We start from the raw sequence: 19,945 nt of genomic DNA, 5'->3' as shown, positions 1-19,945 counted from the left end.
CTCCCTCCCTTAACAAAAAGTCCCATTCCACTAGGGACAAAATACTCGGAAGCAGCATTGTTAGCAGTAGCAGCCACAGGCCACCCACCCTCTTGCCCCTCCTTACCTTCACATCCCCAGGGATGCTATAGAAAACAAAGAGCCGTGGCTGGAGGGTGCCAAAGGTGGCTGGCACAACAAGGTCTGGAAACCTGGACTGTGGAGTCCAGGAATGGGAGGATCACCCAGTTCTGCTAGTGGGAAGAGCCTTGGCTGGGGGCTAATGAGGAGGAGAAACTCCCTCCCACACTTTCTGAGCACAGTCAGAAGTCAAACACTCTAATCTCCTCCAGCCTCCAGCCCAAGCCCACCACTACCCCACTCTACATCACCTAATCTCAGGAAATAACCTCCTCACCACTTTACTGATAAGTCTGAGGCCACCTATGAATCTCTCAGAACTCTCAAGACTGTCATCCACCATCTCCCTGCCTTCCTTCCTTCACTACTAAATGTGCCCTTCCACTGGATTGATTTTATCTTTCCCTTCCTCCTCCCTGGACCTCCCTTCAAGGGCTTTTGCAGTACCCCTCAATCTCTTCTCTTCCCTGGCTCCCTCTCTTCCATCTGACATACAAGCACAGAGGAGCCACCATTTGCTAACTCCACTGTCTCCTCCCTCCTGTGTTCCTCTTCTCCGAGCTGCCACTTTGCCACTGACCCTGCTTTTTGATAAGTAGCCAAAGACCTCCCAATCGCCTCCTTTTTAAAATATCCCATTCCACATCTGTGGGGCATTAACATTTAATAAAAATTTTATTATAAACATAATATAAAAATAACTCTTGTTATACATAATTCAAACGTTGGAGATGTGATGTATCTCAAAATAATAAGAGCTATTTATGACAAACCCACAGCCAATATCATACTGAAGGGGCAAAAACTGGAAGCATTCCCTTTGAAAACTGGCACAAGACAGGGATGCCTTCTCTCACCACTCCTATTCAACATAGGGTTGGAAGTTCTGGCCAGGGCAATCAGGCAGGAGAAAGAAATAAAGGGTATTCAATTAGGAAAAGAGGAAGTCAAATTGCCCCTGTTTGCAGATGACACGATTGTATATTTAGAAAACCCCGTCGTCTCAGCCCAAAATCTCCTTAAGCTGATAAGCAACTTCAGCAAAGTCTCAGGATACAAAATCAATGTGCAAAAATCACAAGCATTCTTATACACCAATAACAGACAAACAGAGAGCCAAATCATGAGTGAACTCCCATTCACAATTGCTTCAAAGAGAATAAAATACCTAGGAATCCAACTTACAAGGGATGTGAAGGACCTCTTCAAGGAGAACTACAAACCACTGCTCAATGAAATAAAAGAGGACACAAACAAATGGAAGAACATTCCATGCTCATGGATAGGAGGAATTGATATCGTGAAAATGGCCATACTGCCCAAGGGAATTTACAGATTCAATGCCATCCCCATCAAGCTACCAATGACTTTCTTCACAGAGTTGGAAAAAACTACTTTAAAGTTCATGTGGAACCAAAAAAGAGCCTGCATTGCCAAGACAATCATAAGCCAAAAGAACAAAGCTGGAGGCATCACGCTACCTGACTTCAAACTATACTACAAGGCTACAGTAACCACAACAGCATGATACTGGTACCAAAACAGAGATATAGACCAATGGAACAGAACAGAGCCTCAGAAATAATACCACACATCTACAACCATCTGATCTTTGACAAACCTGACAAAAAGAAGAAATGGGGAAAGGATTCCCTATTTAATAAATGGTGCTGGGAAAACTGGCTAGCCATATGTAGAAAGCTGAAACTGGATCCCTTCCTTACACCTTATACAAAAATTAATTCAAGATGGAGTAAAGACTTAAATGTTAGACATAAAACCATAAAACCCCTAGAAGAAAACCTAGGCAATACCATTCAGGACATAGGCATGGGCAAGGACTTCATGACTAACACACCAAAAGCAATGGAAACAAAAGCCAAAATTGACAAATGGGATCTAACTAAACTAAAGAGCTTCTGCACAGCAAAAGAAAGTACCATCAGAGTGAACAGGCAACCTACAGAATGGGAGAAAATTTTTACAATCTACCCATCTGACAAAGAGCTAATATCCAGAATCTACAAGGAACTTAAACAAATTTACAAGAAAAAAGTCAAACAACCCCATCGAAAAGTGGGCGAAGGATATGAACAGAAACTTCACAAAAGAAGACATTTATGCAGCCAACAAACACATGAAAAAATGCTCATCATCACTGGCCATCAGAGAAATGCAAATCAAAATGACAATGAGACACTATCTCACACCAGTTAGAATGGCGATCATTAAAAAGTCAGGAAACAACAGGTGCTGCAGAGGATGTGGAGAAATAGGAACGTTTTACACTGTTGGTGGGACTGTAAACTAGTTCAACCATTGTGGAAGACAGTGTGGCGATTCCTCAAGGATCTAGAACTAGAAATACCATTTGACCCAGCCATCCTATTACTGGGTATATACCCAAAGGATTATAAATCATGCTGCTATAAAGACACATGCACACTTATGTTTATTGTGGCACTATTCACAATAGCAAAGACTTGGAACCAACCCAAATGTCCATCAATGATAGACTGGATTAAGAAAATGTGGCCCATATACACCATGGAATACCATGCAGCCGTAAAAAAGGATGAGGTCACATCCTTTGTAGGGACACGGATGAAGCTGGAAGCCATCATTCTCAGCAAACTATCACAAGGACAGAAAACCAAACACCACGTGTTCTCACTCATAGGTGGGAATTGAACAATGAGAACACTTGGTCACAGGGTGGGGAATATCACACACCGGGGCCTGTCATGGGGTGGGAGGACTGGGGAGGGATAGCATTAGAAGATATACCTAATGTAGATGACGAGTTAATGGGTGCAGCACACCAACATGGCATATGTATACATATGTAACAAACCTGCACTTTGTGCACATGTACCCTGGAACTTAAAGTATAATTAAAAAAAAAAAAAGAAAGTGAAATATCACCAATACCCTTTTGCCTCAATGCCAATCCCTAGAGGTAACCACTATAAAGAGTTTGGTAAAAATTTTTCTACACCATTGCTTATGTATTTAAAAATTTGAGGTCATTTTAATATGCCCTTTTGCAACTGGCGTTTTTACTTAACACTATGCTGCACATGTCTTTCCATGTAAGTCTATACAGACATATCTCATTTTTCAAATATCCAAATAGTTTTATTCCATGATGATGTGGCTATATCATAATTTATTTAGCCAATCTCCTTTAGATGTTGAGGTTGTTTCTACTTATGTATTCAATCATGTATTCATTCATTTCTGTTACAAACAACACTGCAATCAATTCCCTGCACATATATCTTTGCATACCTGTGCTCGGAGTACTGGATACCACTAATCTCTCTCTCCTCCATTTCTTTTCTTTTGCAACATTTCTTGCATCTCCAGCTTCTGTCTTGGCTCTTTTCTGAAATAGCAAACCACTTTCTTCCCTGAGCACACAGATACAGATGCACATTCACCCCTTCTTGCTTCTGTCCAAAGTTTTTCCTCCTGAAACGATCACTTCCTACTTACGTTTCTGCCTAAGTTTTGTGTAGACCCATCTCTGGTTTCCCAGACTAGTCTTCCTTGATGGCTTCTTATAACAGCAGGGCGAGGTATAGACCATATTGCTGTCAGCGTTTAAAAAGTGATAAAAACTGAAGCTTAGAAGATTAAGGAACTTGTTCGGCTTGCCTAGCTAGTTAAATGACGGAGCCGGGATTTGCTCTCAGGCCTGATTTTCTGTAGAATCTATGAACTTAAATAACCACCATGTTACATTGTTCCTTTGGCCCTGGTCCTCAAAGGACCTTGCACACAAACCTACAACCACAGCTACCCAATGGAATGGTGGTAACTGATTAACAAGTCAGTTCCCTCTACTAGACTGGGAAATCCCTGAGGGTAGCCCCTTTGTCTTTTCTTTCCACATACCCTATATTTAGTACAAATCCTATTCTGGGTGCTGATATGGATTTGAATGAATGAACCTATGTTTGTGGAATGAAGAATGCCAGCACTCCCCGAACCAGATTCAGAGACAAATTTCATCACTCAGCAACACACGATGAGCTTAAAGTGTAGTCCCTGCTAGTTTGTGAAAATAAAAAAAACCCTCTCTTCCAGTGCCCTAATTCACTCAATTATAAGAGACTTTTAAAATTGGCAGGGAGTAGAACATAATGGTTTAAAAAACACAGGCTGTGAAGTTGGAAGGCATAGGTTCTGATCCCAGAGTAGCAGCTCTGCTACTTACTAGGCAAGTTATTCAAGTTCCATAATCCTTAATTCCCTCTCCAGTAATTTGGAGCTAATAACAATTACCTGCTCACAGAGTTATCCTGAGGATTTAATAAGGTAGCCAAGATGAAGCACTTAGCCCAGTGCCTGGCATACAGGAGGCACTCAATAAATGTTAGTTGCGTTATGGTGCTTAGGATCAGTAACAGCCACTTTCAGTCTTGGTTGAAAGTCAATTTAGATCAGACATTCATTTCTCCTACACCTCTCCAAGCTTTGAACAGGATGACTTTTTAGTTTAAATTGCATAAAAAGCTCACTTTCTTGACCTTATTTGTAACACAAACATTTACTGAGTGATTTCTGTGTATCTAACTCTTTCCTGGTAGTACCTCGTTGGTCCTTTACCATCGCGGAGAGTCTACAGTAGGAAGAATAAGCATGCTCAGGTTAGAGTTTGGGGAGGACAAAATTTTCCTGCTGTTTGTAGTTTAGAACATTGCATAATCTTCTGAAAAGCACACCTTTCTTTTTCTTTTTAAACTTCAAGGATTTGTTTTAAAACATTTTCTCACAAAAGTCTGAAGTTTTCGTACCTTGATTCATGAAGGGGGACGGGTAGTAGCTTCTGGAGCCTGATTCATGGAGGTGCCTGTGCTATTCTTTGTCTTTGAGACAAAAAGTTTTCCTATACCAGCAGCTCCTGAAGGTGACTTTAGGAAACAGCACGTGTTTTGTTATTCTGTGCTCAGTTTTGACCCACATCCAAGTATTAATTTTTTGGATGGGAGGGGTGGTGGCTGTTGTTTGTGTCTAAGTGGGTCTTTCCAAGGACTATATATTAGGGTAAGACTCCACTCCTGGCAACCAAAACAAAAAACTTCTCTGACTCCAATTCAAATCTCAACAGAAGCAAATGACTCAGTTCAAGCAAACTTTATAGATTATTCAATTCTGGAACTATATGTTCTCGGATAACCATACCCAACATTGAAATTAAACTACTCTCTAAAGAAGGAAATTCCTTAGTAACGTCACTCAGCTCCAAAACTTGGGACTGTCTTTCCTTGCATCTAACTTACATGTCTCCAATCACAAATTAAGCTGTTCATTCTCCAGCTGACATATCTGGGCAGGAGATCCAGCTTCAGATGCTGGGAGGCGTGAAGAGGAGAAAAGGTCACTTCTGGTTTTGGTGTGTGTGTGTTTGATGTAGGTGTGGTTTCGTGTTATGTAAGCATCTGGCTCTAGGCACTAGGATACCTGCACTGTCAGGGGACAGGGACTTCTGGGTGCCAGGTGCTCCTAGAAGCTCAGTCACTAAGGGGCTGCTTGGTGCCTCTTCTCTCTCCTCACTGTCCTGGAGCTCTGGCTTCTTTGTCACATGTTCTGTTATCTGAACTTCTCAGGCTACCACTTTAGGATCAAAGGAGATTGTGGGCCAAAGGAACAAAACTCTCACTTTTCGAGCCCACAGTGTGACCTCGGACAAGTCCCTTCCTCTTCCTGGGCCTTAGTTCCTGCAGCTGAGAGGTATGGAGTTTCGTCAAAACATGTCTGAGCCTCTGCCCAGCACTGACAATCTGGGGCTCCAGAATCTGTCGTCCAGCCAGGCCAGTGACCTAGGTGGGAAGGGCAGTGAGAACGTAGCCACTGTTTGGAATTCACAGGCTTGTTTGGTGGGACAACTCCTAATAGATTTGATTGGGGATCAGAGCAACCTATTTCTCCGAACCTCTGGTGAGAACTGATTCAGGCCTGCCACTCCTCGGTCAGGGCTGCAGAGGCATGTAAAATGCACTTGTCAGAGAGCATTGGCTCAGAAGCCTGACACTTCCACCATCTGAATACCAAACAAGACAAAAATTGCACAAGAGATGGGGCCCAGATGATCCGCTGATCAAATCAGTATTTCAACTCTGGTGTCCTCAGGATTTCTTATGTGAGGGAACACCCTCCTCTGCCATTTCAAAAGACTTAATACATTTTTATCCCTGAGTGATTTTGTCCTCAAGAGGACCTATGGGAGGGACCATGTGGATTTTGAAAGCTTAGTGCTGAACTAATTCTGTGCCCTAATGATTATGAAAGCCTGTGTAAATAGGGAGGCAGTGGCAGGGAGCCTGGGGCTGGAAGTCAGGAGGCTTGAATTCCAGTTCTGGCTTTGCCACTCTCTGGCTGTGCAGCTTTAAGAAAATTGCTTCACCTCTCTGGGCCTCAGTGTTCTCATACAGCAGCATCTCTCTACGGTCTCTAAGACAGAAACCTCTCATCTTGGTGGTAGAATGGGGCCAGATATACCTCTGTGTGTGTGTGTGTGTGTGTGTGTGTGTGTGTGTGTGTGTGTGTTAGCCCAATTCTCCCCTTGTGTGGAGACATAGCTCTTATGGAGGTTACATTCCTTCCCCAAGTTCCTCTTCTTTGAAGGCCTTTGGGACGCATCCAAGAGAGTAGGTGAACTCATGGATGCTTAAGGATTGGAAGGGGCTTTGAGGATAATTACCCAGCTATTGCAAGAATGCCTCTCACCCCAATTATCTGGTGGGAGGTGCTTGGCATGTTTGAGAACCAGCATTCCATGAAAGTTAAGAGCCCCAGCTCTGGAGTTATTCAGTCTTTGTTTTATATCCCAGCCTTGCCAGTCATTTCAGTTCGTCATTCAGCAAGTATTTATCAAGTGCCTATTTCCTGCCAAGCACTTAGATAAGCTATTTTGCATATATTATCACACTTAGTCCTCACAACCCTATGAAACAGGTAGAGGTTTTATCTCCATGTCACAGATGAGGAAACTGAAACTCAGAGAGGTGATGTGACTTATTGCTAGCAAGAGGCAAACCTGAGGTTTGAATCCAGGTCTATTGACACCAGCGCTATAGCTCTCAGCCACTATGCTGTACTGTCTCCAAGACCTTATCTTCTTAATGTAAACATCTATGATGTAGACATTATTGTATCTATTTTAAAACTAGATACTGACGGTCAGAATTTAAGTAGCATCATTTGGTCAAAGTCAATGAAAGCAGGGCCAGGACTCAGCTGGGGGCTACTCAACCCCCACGTCGGTGTCTCTGACTGCTGTGTGCAATGCCTCTACCTCAGCCTTTTGGAAAAACCTCCGTGCATTTGCCAGTCTACGTTACAGACTAAGCAGCATGCCTGCTTCTGAAGGAAGGACATGGACCATGCAATGGGAAGAGCCCTGAAGTCTGCATGATGCCAACATCTCAGCTGCTGGTCCTGTCTGCTCCTTACCAGGCACAAGGCCTGAGGCATTTCCAGCCTCTGCGCTTTACCAGCCTTGCTTTCCTCACAAGGATATTTATTGTACCAGTCAATTGAGGGCCTAGCTATGAAAGGACTTTATAAATTAGAAGGTGATGAAAGTGAAATTATTATTGTTGTAGTCCCACTTCTCTGTTTTTCTCCATCAAACTGGACAATAAATTGCATGTTGCCTTCGGGAATCTTGAAATGCATCATCTAGTAGCCTGAGCCCCATGATCCCAGGATGAAGCAGCATGAGGCAGGCTATCCTCTCTCACAGCCGGCACTCCTGCCTGACTCATTCAGGGATGCCACATTCCGGGATGTGAGGCATTACAATGGCTGCCACTGTGACGTGTAGTCATCCCAGAAAGGCTGGGATGTAACATTCCTGAACAGATTCAGGCATGAGAAGAGAGAGGAGAGAAAATTTGTAAACAGGCAGCCTGGGGCTTAGGAGAGGCAGGAGAAGTTGCTCATTTTCTGTGCTCTTGTTTTGAAAGTCTTTGGAGGTGTAGCTGTCCGTCCATCAGGCTGATCTTATCATCCTTCGGGAAGCATGCATCTCCAGATGCGTGGGACTCCTCACACCAGGGCCTTGCACTCTCGGACCACCGGTTCCAGGAGGGCTGGGTCAGAAATCATTTGCTCACTTCACTACTCACTCCTCTAAGGAGTGAGAGGATAGGAAAACCAGAGGTGCCATCTGCAGGTGGATGGAGGAGCTCCAGGTGATTTGTCCCTGAGTTTTTCCAGTTAAGCATTTGCTCTCTCCCCTCTCACCCTGTTGTGCTAAGGGTGGCACAGAAAAAGAATTTTATTTATTTTGGGTCTTTGTTTGTACCTGTTTGCAGCCCAAGGAAAAGAGAGAGGCAAACTCTCTGGTTCAGGCTTCGGTGAGAGCCTTCTTTTACTCAAAGAGACTGTGGAGGCTGCCAGAGAGCAAGTCAAGGAGTTGGGAGGTGCAGCCTGCCTTGAGCAGGGCAGCAGGGACTTGTGGGATGAGCTATGGCTCCGTTAGGACCCTCCTCACCTGGAAACAGGACTGTGGGAGACATTGCCATCCCTCCTATCTAACAATTCGATGTTAGAAAACTCCCTGCTTTGGGTAGTACCAAGAAATTAGTTGTAATTATGGAAATGAAGAAGGTGGCACTGAAAGAAAGCACCACCAGGGGAAAGGGCCCTGCAGGTGGAGGTGGAGACCTGGGCTCCAGGTGTAGCCTTGCCACAGGCTCTGTGTGAATGTGAGCCCTCTCTGGGGCTGTATTTATGAAAAAGGGGGTTGGGCAATGATCTCTAAGGTCCCTTCCAACTAGGCCAGTTTATGCAAGACTTTCCTTGATTTCAGTACTGAAAGTTTTGTGTCCAGAAATCCTTGCTTCCAATAGAAAGCTTCCCTTTCTGGTTGTTCTAGTAACTTCCCTCTGGGATCTCAATCCCTTTTCTCTCTGTATTGCAGAAGCCTTTTCTCTGGATTAGGAAATCATTGTGATAACTCCTGCTAAATGGTGGTGGGTAGGGGTGATACTCAAAACATGAACATCCTCTACGGTAAGGGCACAAACCCATCAGAATGAACCAGGCCATAAACCCCAGACCATTCTTGGAGTGCTGTCCACTCCCCGTCCCCGGGGTGGGCAACCCCACATTGAAACTGGGCTTCTATCTCCAGGTCTATGACAATTCCACCTGTTTCTATTCCACCTCTTCAGTCAGTGATGTGAAGTCATGTCAATCACTTCAGCGCCAGTGGAACTGAAGGATTTTCCAGCTTCTCTTTTACTGCTTGCTCTCAGATTAAAGGTGGTGACTTCCCCTTCACTGGTCAGTTCCAGCCTCAGTCCAGTTTCCTAAGGTTTTTTAGGGTGAGACTGCTCTGAGTGATGCTGTCCAAATCCAGACAATAGTGTCTTTGCGGATGGGCTTCACGTCTCTGGGATTCAAGTCTGTTTGTGCCCCACCATCCTTGGTGTGCTGCCAGATGAGTCTTTCCAAAACAGTGTTTTGTCAGCCTCCTGTACCTGTTCTGAAATCTTTCTAAGCACATTTCCTCAGCCCTCTCACCCACTGTGGACAAACAGGACCACATATTCATAATCATGACCCACTTGTCTTTGGCTTCTGCCTCTGTTTGCTTACATGGGATCTTGGTCTCTTCCAATTGTGTTTTTATTCAGAGAGCAGCTGCTAAACTGTCTGGAATGACAGAAGTTCAGTTTCAAATAATAGTTAACATACGTGTATCACAGGGTGGAGAAAAGCAGAGTCCGTGTGACCTCTGGCTCCCATTCACCTCCACACCAGCTGAGCCCATTTCACATGACCTTTCTGCCTGTGTTTGTCTGTCCTTCAATGTGCTCCATCCTCACTTGTTTATGTTGCTTCCTGAGCACAGTGACTTGCATCAGGCACTGTGCTAAAGGTTGGTGAAATGCAAGCTGGATCCAACCCCTATGGTGAACCTGCATTGTGGGAGGGCAGATGGACATATAAGCAGCTGCTTCGTGATGGGACATGTGTGCTGTAATACATTTGAGTGTCATGGCCACATACAGCGGGGCCTGGCTCCTTCTGCAGTGATATCAAGGCTGGGCCTGGGTGAGGAGGAGTCATAGTTAGAGAATGGGTGGGAGGAAGCTCGCATGCCAGGCACGGGGAAATGGCATGCACAAAGGCACCCCTCTGTTTGTCTCCCTTTGTCTTCCACTGTGGGTGGTGCTGTGGGCGGCAGTGGGTCAGGGATTGCTGGGCAGGAGGCCAAGGCAGGCAGAGTCAGCCCTCAGGAACCACCAGGTCAGGGAGCACTGGCACGCCCAAGAACCCACTTCCTATTTCCCAGAGCAGATGGAGGCCATAGACTCAAGTTTTTCTCCCCATTTTCCCCCTCATTCCTCAGAATACCTGCTCCTTCCTGTGTCACAGGCCAGCTCTGACTTGGTCTCCATCCCCCAGGCCCCTGACAAGTCACCAGTCATTGTTGACCCTTCCTTTCCTCATCTTCTGCCTTCCATTTCCTCCTTTCCACAGCTTCTACTATGGTTCAAATCCCGGTCACCCATCTCCCACCTGGTTGGTTGCATCAACCTCCTCATCAGTCTCCAGGATTCAAGTCTGTTTGTGCCCCACCAGCCTTGGTGTGTGCTGCCAGATGAGTCTTTCCAAAACAGCGTTTTGTCAGCCTCCTGTACCTGTTCTGAAATATTTGTAAGCACATTTCCTCAGCCCTCACCACGCACTGTGGACAAACAGGACCGCATATTCATAATCATGACCCACTTGTCTCTGACTTCTGCCTCTGTTTGCTTACATGGGACCTTGGTCTCTTCCAGAGTGCACCCCAAGTAGTTCCAGGAACCCCCAGGGCAGTGTTGCTGAAAGTGGCTCTGTGCACCAGCGCCAATCTGTGCACGTTGCTATGATCTGCGATGACATTAGCACATACATGGAGAATAAGTTGAACTTTCATTTCTGTGACCTCTAGCAGATGGGATTTTTTTTTTTTTTTTTTTTAGTTTTACAAAACAAATAAACAAACAAGCAACAGAAACAAAAGACACCTGGCCCTTCACAGATCATTTGAGCCCTGCCCTAGGGTGTGTCATACCCAATCAAGTCTGGCTCCTCCATGCACTCCTGCCTCACCTCCCTGCTATCCACTGGCAGCTCCTGGAGCTGTTTTTTCAGGAAATCAGTCCCTACTGCCTCTCTTCCTGGAGCACAGCTATCCAGAGTGTTCATGTGAGAAACAGTTTGCTTTAAAAATACTGCTGCAATTCAGAATATCCACTTTTGACATTAAATTAGGACTCATATTTAAAATCACTATTTACCTTCTTTCTTTAAAGCATTTTTTTCTTGGTTTAGTTTGGTAATTTTTCAAAATAACTTTAAAAGTCAACTTTATTAAAATGTAAATTACATACAAGAAAATGCACTTATTTTCACCGTACAGTGAAGAGTTTTGACCAAGGTATACATTTGTTAGATCACCACCCCAATTAAGATATAGAACAATTCTATCATTCTAGAAAGTTCCCTTGTGCCCCTCTGCAGTCAGTCCCACTCCTCCTGCAGCCACAGGCAACCACTGACCTGCTTTCTGTTTCTACAGATGGGTTTGGCTGTTTCTAGGATCTATAAATGGGATCATCCAGGATGTACTCTGACATCCATAAAATTTTTGAGATTCATCTACAATGCTATATGTATTAGTAGTTCAATCCTTTTAATTGCTGAGAAGCATTCCATTGCGTGTACCATATGACAATTTGTTTATGCATTCTCTTGCTGATAGACATCTGGGTTGTTTCCAGTTTTTGGCTACTTGAATAAAGTTCTCTGAACATTCATGTACAACTCTTTGTTTGGACAAATGTTTTCATTTCCTTTGGGCAAATACCTAGTAGTAGAATTGCTGGGTCATGTGGTGGAGATTATGTTTAACTTTGTAAGATGCCAAAGTTAGTCCACAGGCTACGTCGCTTTTGATGAGAATCGCATGATTTACTTATTCATTTATTTTTAGAGACAGGGTCTCGCTCTGTCGCCCAGGCTGGAGTGCAGTGACACGATCATAGCTTACTGCAGCCTTGACCTCCTGGGCTCAAGGGATCAGCCTCCGGAATAGCTAGGATTATAGTAGCACACCACTATGCCTGGCTAATTTTAAAAGTTTTTGTAGAGGTCTCGCTATGTTGCCCAGGTCTGTCTTGAGCTCCTGATCTCAAGTGATCCTCCTGCCTATGCCTCCCAAAGTGCTGGCGTTACAGGTATGAGCCACTGTGCCCGGCTAAGGAATCACGTGATTTCTAATTGGAGCCCAGTTCCAGCTGCTCTGGAGAGGCAGCTGTCCTCAGCTTCATGGAGTTACCAATTTGTGTTATACACAGCATTGTCTACCTTAGTGTCATGACACAAATGATGCTATGATTTTTTGTCAGTTGTGTTGTAAGTGAATGTGAAAATATTTGAAAGTACAGATATTTGTGAAAATTTTACCTTAAAAATGTATATGTAAAATGGGTTCAAGGCTATCTTTTTAATACATACCTTCTAATTCATTTACATTATAATAGGCTTATTTTATTTATTGCTACAACTTGTAAGAAGTGACTATATTAGTTAGCATCCAGCTTTAGATGCGTTTAACAAAGACCTAGAAGAACAGTGGCTTAAACAGAGAGAAGTCTACCTCTCTGCCATGTGAAACTCTTCATGTAGACAGTTCACGGCTGGTATGGAGCCTCCACAGGCATCCAGGATCCAGGTTTCTTCCAATTCTCTATCATCCTCAGGTGTGTCCCCTCATGTCACCATCCTGAGTGGAAACCCAACCATCAGATCCATAATCCAGATAGCAGGGAGAAGATGGAGGGGAATAAAGGATACGCCCCCTCCCTTAAGGACACAATCCAGAACCTGACTTTTCTACTTCTGCTTACAACATCCCATTGGGCAGAACTTAGTCACATGGCTGAGCCTAGCTACAGGGAATCCTGGGAAATGTAGCCGTGTTTCAACTTGAAATTTGGCAGCCATATTACAGGGGAAGAATGAAAGAGTAGATATTGGGGGACAGGAAGCAATTTCTGCCATATTTGCCATTTTTAAAGTGTTATAAATAGTTATTCATAAACTATTGCGGTTTCTTACACCCCCTACCCCACAGCATTTTGGTGGGTAATAATAAAAAGTGTAATTGTAATAATAAAAGTAGTAAAACTTGTGGATAAGCCAGTAGGAGTGTGCTGTGCCTGGGAACAATGTCTTGTACGTGACATTAGAAAACATGTAGAGAACTTGTCTCATCTCTTTACCCTGACATTCAAGTTTTCTACAATGGGGCCACAGCCTACTTTTCCAAATATTTAATTCTTCACTTCTGTGCTTGAGAGCTCTATTTTAGCAAAGGATAGTTAAAGAAAACGTAACTTTCTTCCCTCCCTGTCATTTGTCATGTTGTTCCTGTCACTTAGAAGCTTTCCTTGGATTCCTAGAACATGAACTTATGCTCCACCTCAGGTCTTGCCTCTTCCTTTCTCTGGGATGTGTTTTTCCCAGACAGCTTTTTATATAGCCCTCTCCTTTTTGTCATTCAGATCTCAGTTCAAGTACCAAATGGAGAGAGAGGCCATCTCTGATAAACTTTTTAAGTACTGTCTCTTCCCCGCACCCCCACCCCACTCTCTATCACATTACTCTGCTTCATTTTCTTCATAGCATTGTTCAATATCTGAAGTTACCTTGTTTTGTTACATGCTTATGCTGCTTCTGCATCTTTTCCCATAGAACGTTCTAGAAAAGCCAAGGCCTGTCAGTTTGCTCACTGTTGCACATTTGGCTTGATGGCTCATGTTAGAGACTCGATAGCACATTGCTTAAATCAAGAAATGACTGCATACCCGTTTCTCCCTCTCTAACCTACTTAGGCTCTGAGCCAAGCCCACAGCCTCAACTTGCTCTATGAAGTATGTTTTGATCCTTTTGCCCCATTTGCATCATGCCTGGCTTCTTTTCATCTTTCAAACTGAAACTTAAATGTCACTTCCTTGGAAAGCCCATCACTGTTGACCCCAGAGCAGGCAGGTGTCCCCCTTACTTCATCAGAGAACCCTGCTCCTCATTTCCTTCAGGGTTCTTTTCACAACATGTAATTCTATATTTACTTACATCTACACTTACTTTTTTTTTCTCTCTCTCTCCCCACTAGAGGTTAAGCCATAGAGGTGGAGAGGTCAGTCTTCCTTGCCCTCACGGTGAATCCCAGGGCACAGTATGGTGTCTGTATGTAGTAGGTGGTCCAGAAACTTGTGAATAAACCAATGAAAGCACAACATGTGCTGCCTATACCGCTTACCTGGATAATAACGATCCCCTCTCTATCTTTAACTTTAATACCCGTAAGATTCTTCATCTAGGCAATTCTCATCTCTCTTTTGTAAGCTCCTTACAGACAGGGACCAGTTTCCTCTTTATACCTCTTCACTCCAGCATACTGGGTTTCCTTAGATCAGTTTTTCTGACACTGTATTCCAGGATTGTTGATAAGCATTGCAAGAAAACTGGATTCCATGATCAAAAAGTTTGCTTGTACTAGGTTAAGCTTAAATGGTTGTTTGTTTTGTTTTGTTTTGTTTTTTTAAATCACAGAACTTTACAAGGATTTTGATGTGCTATTACAGGATATAAATTTCCAAGAGGTGAGATAAAGTAGTCAGTATTGTCCAAACTTTTTGGAAACTTTATTTTCTTTTTTCGGAGACTAATTTGAGGTATTCTAAGTGTTTCATGGTACATACTCTCATTCCCTCTAGCTTTTTTTGAATTTCTCTTCTACCTTCTTATTTGTTTCCCTACTTTTTCTCCAATGAGCCTCTCCTCTTTTTAAAACTCCCTTGTAAATGATCTTAACACTGACTGTCATTTGTAGGGTGCAGAGCACAGGTGCAACTACTCAACCTCACTCGAGAAGAGCCTGCATCCAAGGTCTGTAAACCTCAGAATCTGGTGTGCCCAATCTCACAGAAGCCCTCATGCCCCTGAGTCTTAATTTTTCCACTGGTATGATTTAGGAAGTAATGAGCTAAATAATAACTTTGCTGGTAAGTACTTGGGGGGACACCAACTAGATTTCAAACTACTGTGGGTTTCATTTCCAATCTGGAAGATGGGATTGGCCATTGATCAGGAGATGTACACAGGATGTTGAATCTACTACACTCCAACCTCATGGTAGAGCAACTGACTCAGACCACTCTGTGAGCCTTCCCCAGCATCGGTCTCCTGATCTAATAAACTTGAGCACCAGATCCACCTAATGGGATGTGCTGACCTGACAGGGAGAAATGTTTCCTGGCTTACTGTCTGCTTGTAGTGTTGACTTCACTGGCAGTAGCAGGGTAAGCAAACAATAAAACAAAACAGAACAAAACTTCCCTCAAATCTACCAGGAAAAGCCCCACACAGCTTGGGAAGACTTATTCTACATAAGATAATTCCAGAATAGCAGAGCCAAGAAGAACTTATAGATACCATTGTAAAAAGGGCAAAACTGAGGTCAAGTTGAGGAGGTGCCTGCCCAGGGCCACATGATTGAGGCTGGGCCTGAGCAGAGAACAGCATCTGGCTTCCTGATCTTTAAGCTGGTGCTCTTTTAATTTCACCAATCTGTCTCAGTAAAGGATATTTTTAGTACATTGTACTTATTAAATAGTTTTATGGTCTATGATTCTGTCTTAAAAGCTTGCAAGCCAAATGTTTAATATTCCTCTAAGAAACAGAAATTAAATGGTTTATTCTGTGTCTCCTAATTTGTCTCACAGATCTGTTTGGGAGCCCAACTCAGACAGTGGTGAAAGAGCAATATAAAATAACTATAATGAAAGGTGAAGACAGAGGCATTCCCATTGTCATGATTCCTTTGGGTGTCAGGGACAAACTTCATAGTTGTCAAAGAATCTGAGTATTGCGGCCCAGGGGCTATGGGAGAACACTCCCATTTCACAGGTGTGGAAACTGAGACACAGAAAGGGGCAGGGCCATTTTTAGAGTCACATTAGGAGTGAGTTATTTGCCAAGGCAGGTAGGACTTGGGCCTTGGTCCTCCCAGAGTGAAGCATTTCCGTCTATCACACCATTCGGCCTTTTTAAAGTTCCAGACCTGGAGGCAGATAGCTTGTTCTAAACCTGTTTAAGCCATTATGGGTTAAGCACAGATAAAATAGAGTCCCACAGGGGTTAGGAAATGCTGTGCCTGGAGCCAGTGGCTGTGTATTTAAGACATTAGGCCTCTCCTTGAGAAGAACAGGCTCCATGGGCCCAGAGAACTGAAGCTGTATTTATCTGGGACTTGGCTTCAGGCATATATCCCCAGGCAACACCCCAGGCCTCCTTTCACACAGGCTCCCTATTGCTGATGAGTGAAGTTTGCATTTCCTCAGAATGTTCCTGTAAGTTCCCAGCAGGTCTCCCAGCCAAGCTGGCAGTGGACTCAAAGTGAGAGGCTGGCAGCCAGAAGTTGGATCTGTCAGTGCTGCCAACACAGTGCTGTGGCTCAGGGCTCTGGGTCTCTCTCTGCCTTGCCATATAGGGCCTAGCCGATATAGGGCTCCCTAGTGCATAAGGACAGAAAGGAAATCTGGAAAGGCCTTTTGGGAGCTGACCCAGTGCTTTTCCTTTACAGATGGAGAACCTGGACCAAGAAAGAGAGAGGTGACTTTATTACCAGTAATCCTAGAATTAATGACAGACCTAGGAGCTGTCCTAAGCCTCTGGACCGTAATCAATAAATAATGAATGAATGCGAGGTATGCGGCAGGTGCTGTGCTAAGTGCTTTACCACCCATTCATTTATTTCTTCCTAATAAGCCCTTGGAATACACGAGGCAGTCTGTAGGCTATATGCCTACAATGAAAAACACAGGCAATGGTCCTTGCCTACACATAGCTATAGACAGACAAGTGATTGGGCAGTTACAATCCAAGGTGGTACTTGCTGTAATGGGGGAGCTATAGGGTGCTATGGAAAACTTGGGAGGAACATTTAATCTAGATTGGATTGGGGGAAAAATTACTAGCAGCTTCCTCCAAAGTATAACATCAATGCTAGGACCAAAGGTGAAGTAGGAATTTTGTGAGCCAAAGGTGGATGGGTAAAAGCATTCTGGAAGGGCAGACTGCATATGCAAGGCCTTGGAAACAGGAGCCTGGTACGGTGAGGATTTGGAAGACATGTAGTGTGGCTGGAATGTGGAGCATAAGGTGTGGGAAGAAATGAGGCTGGAGAGAGAGGCAGGACTAGACCGCAAAGGACCATGTAAATAGTACAAGAGGTTTAGACACTTGAGGACAAGATCCTGGGGAGGTGTTATTAGATGGTATCCAGAAGGAAAAAAAATGGGCTAACTCATAAACTGCTGGGCTGCCCTGCCCCAACAGGTCTCCAGACAAGGCTAGATGACCACTCACTGAGAAGGTATAAAGGGGCTTTGGATATTGAATATAAGGGGCAGCTGATGTCAGCCAGGTAGGAGGAAGCAAGTCTTTGAGCCCCTTGTCTCCCTCACTGGCTCCTGATTCATGTCTATGACATCCTAAGATTTATTTATTGTTTTCAAAAATTCATTTTAGAACCACTGCTCAAGCCAACTTGGCGGTCTCGTGACCAGGGCCCCAGTCCAATACTTGGAGGGCAGAGGAAAAAGCCAGTTGTTTGGAGCCCCTTGCAAATATGAGCCAATATTTCTTTTCTTTCTTTCTCCTGCCCCCAACCCCTGCCACCTGGAGTGGATTCCTCCACCAAGCATAGACATTGAGGAAATGTGGTCACAGAACAGAGAGGACTTTCTGTTATTGGATCTTTCAATTCTAAAATATGCTTTTGATTTCATTTTATAGATTTCAATTCTGTAGTGAAATTCTCTGCGTGTCATCTACTTTTTTGAACATATTTATCACAGTTATTTGAAAGTCTGTGTTTGATAACTCGTATTTGGAATACCTCAGGATTGCTTTCTGTTGTCTGTTTTTCTTTTTGGTACTGTTTCTTGATATATAAGTTGTATTTGGTATATGCAAGATGACAGATTTTCTTTTCTGGCAGGCAGTTAGAGTAATTCAATCCAATTAGGACTCAGCTGAGTAAAGATTGATTTTGGCCTTTGTTAAGACTGCCTTATCTCTGCCTAATTTCTGTGGTGAGCCTATAGCCCTCCAGGGGTTCTAAGTGAGATCTTTAGGTGTTTATCAGGACCGTTTCTTACTTGGTTGCTCCTGGATTCCAATTTTTGTTTCCAGAGCACTGTGAGCCTGCTAAAACTTCTCCTGAGCTCTTCCAACACTTTCTGCTTGGCCTTTTAGCCTCTTGCTCTGACAGCTTAAGACTCAGCAAATGTCCCAAGGGGGAAAACAGAAGTGGGGCTCATATCCTCTTTATAATCTTGTCTCTTAAGTCCTAGTTGCTCTTTGATGGCTTCAAACAGATTTTTAAAATTTTGTATTTCATCCAGGTTTCTCACTGGTTCTTGTGGAAGTTACAAGCTACTCTATCATAGATAGAAGCAGAGGAATGGAACATTACATCTTGAAGGCCGGGGACAACTATTCTAACTGGGAAGTTGCAATGGTTCTCAGGAGGCGTTCAGAATCGCTTACCAACTGGGCTTTACCAGCTGTTGGTCTTGATCCCAGGGCAGAACTTTGCTGTATCACATTTCCCCAGAACCCCTGATCCCTTTCTCAGTTTAAAAATCCCTTTACTTGGCCCTGAGACTTGGTGCCCAGTGCTGGGGACAAGCAAGAAAGAGGGAACAGGTAGAAAATTGTTAGTTGGTACTCAGTGGAGCAGTATTGTACCCCACATGAAGTAGTTGGAAGTATGTAGGGATTTTTTTCTTTGTTGCCACATGGCTTGGGGAAGAGGATGATTGCTAAAGCCAAGTACACTTGGAAAAGTCCTGTACAATGTGATTTTTTTTTTTTTTTTGGTAAAAATATTACTTTTCCATTACGAAAAATGAAGCCCCTTCCACTATCACTCTGGATTCCATCTACTCTTATATTCTCAATGGCTTTTTTCCCTCTCAAGGGCAAAAAAATCCCTCCTATATCTCATTTTTTCTTCTCTATTGGATTAATCCCATAAACATTAAAAACAGGCACAAATGTCTCCAATTAAAAGCAATATCAAACAGAAAGAAGAACTTCCTTGATTTTACATCTTCCTCTAGACTACCATCTAATTTCTCGGCTTTCTTCCACAGAAAACCTTCTTGAAAGTAATCCAGGGTAGGCAAGCTCCAAAACTGGAGCTTAGCCCATGGAGGTTCTTGCTTCACCCAGTAAAGAATTCAAGGGTAAGCCAGTGGTGTTAGACAGCAACTTTTATTGAAGTGGCAGTGTATAGTAACAGCAGAGTTACTGCTCCTTGTGGAGCAGAGCTACCCCATAGGCCATGTGCCTAGAGTGGCAGCTCAGAGGCAATTCTGAGCGCCTTCTGCATAGTCTTCTCTTTAATTTGCATATAATTAAAAGTAAGTAGTCATATGTTTAATATATGCAAATTTATATTTCATATATGCAAATTTGCATATATTAAAGTGTGAATACTCACTTTTAATTATATGCAAATTAAAGAGAAGAGTATGCAGACATTTCTAGAATAGGAAGTAACTTCTGGGTTGTCAGGTTGTTGCCATTGGAAAGGGGCAGCAACTTCTGGGTGTTGCCATGGCAGTGGTAAACTGATATAGCACTGGTGGATGTGTCTCATGGAGAGGTGTTTTTGCCTCTTCCCTGTTTCAGCTAGTCCTCGATCTGGCCTGGTGTCTGAGCCTCACCTCTGGAGTTGAGT

The 19,945-nt window shown here is 43.6% G+C and overlaps 1 annotated feature.

Annotated features, from left to right (window-relative positions):
• Positions 9,835 to 11,034: an enhancer, noted in NCBI's record as "CDK7 strongly-dependent group 2 enhancer chr5:148289701-148290900 (GRCh37/hg19 assembly coordinates)". NCBI's record gives its function as "activates an origin of replication core promoter dependent on BRD2, BRD4, P300/CBP, MED14 and CDK7 cofactors, with strong dependence on CDK7, by STARR-seq in HCT116 cells {active_cell/tissue: HCT116}" and the evidence as "EXISTENCE:reporter gene assay evidence [ECO:0000049][PMID:35650434]".

The sequence above is a fragment of the Homo sapiens genome, chromosome 5 (genome assembly GCF_000001405.40).
Source record: "Homo sapiens chromosome 5, GRCh38.p14 Primary Assembly".
Taxonomy (NCBI): domain Eukaryota; kingdom Metazoa; phylum Chordata; class Mammalia; order Primates; family Hominidae; genus Homo; species Homo sapiens.
The sequence above is the reverse complement of the archived record's forward strand: the minus strand, read 5'-3'. Positions and strand labels throughout refer to the sequence as shown.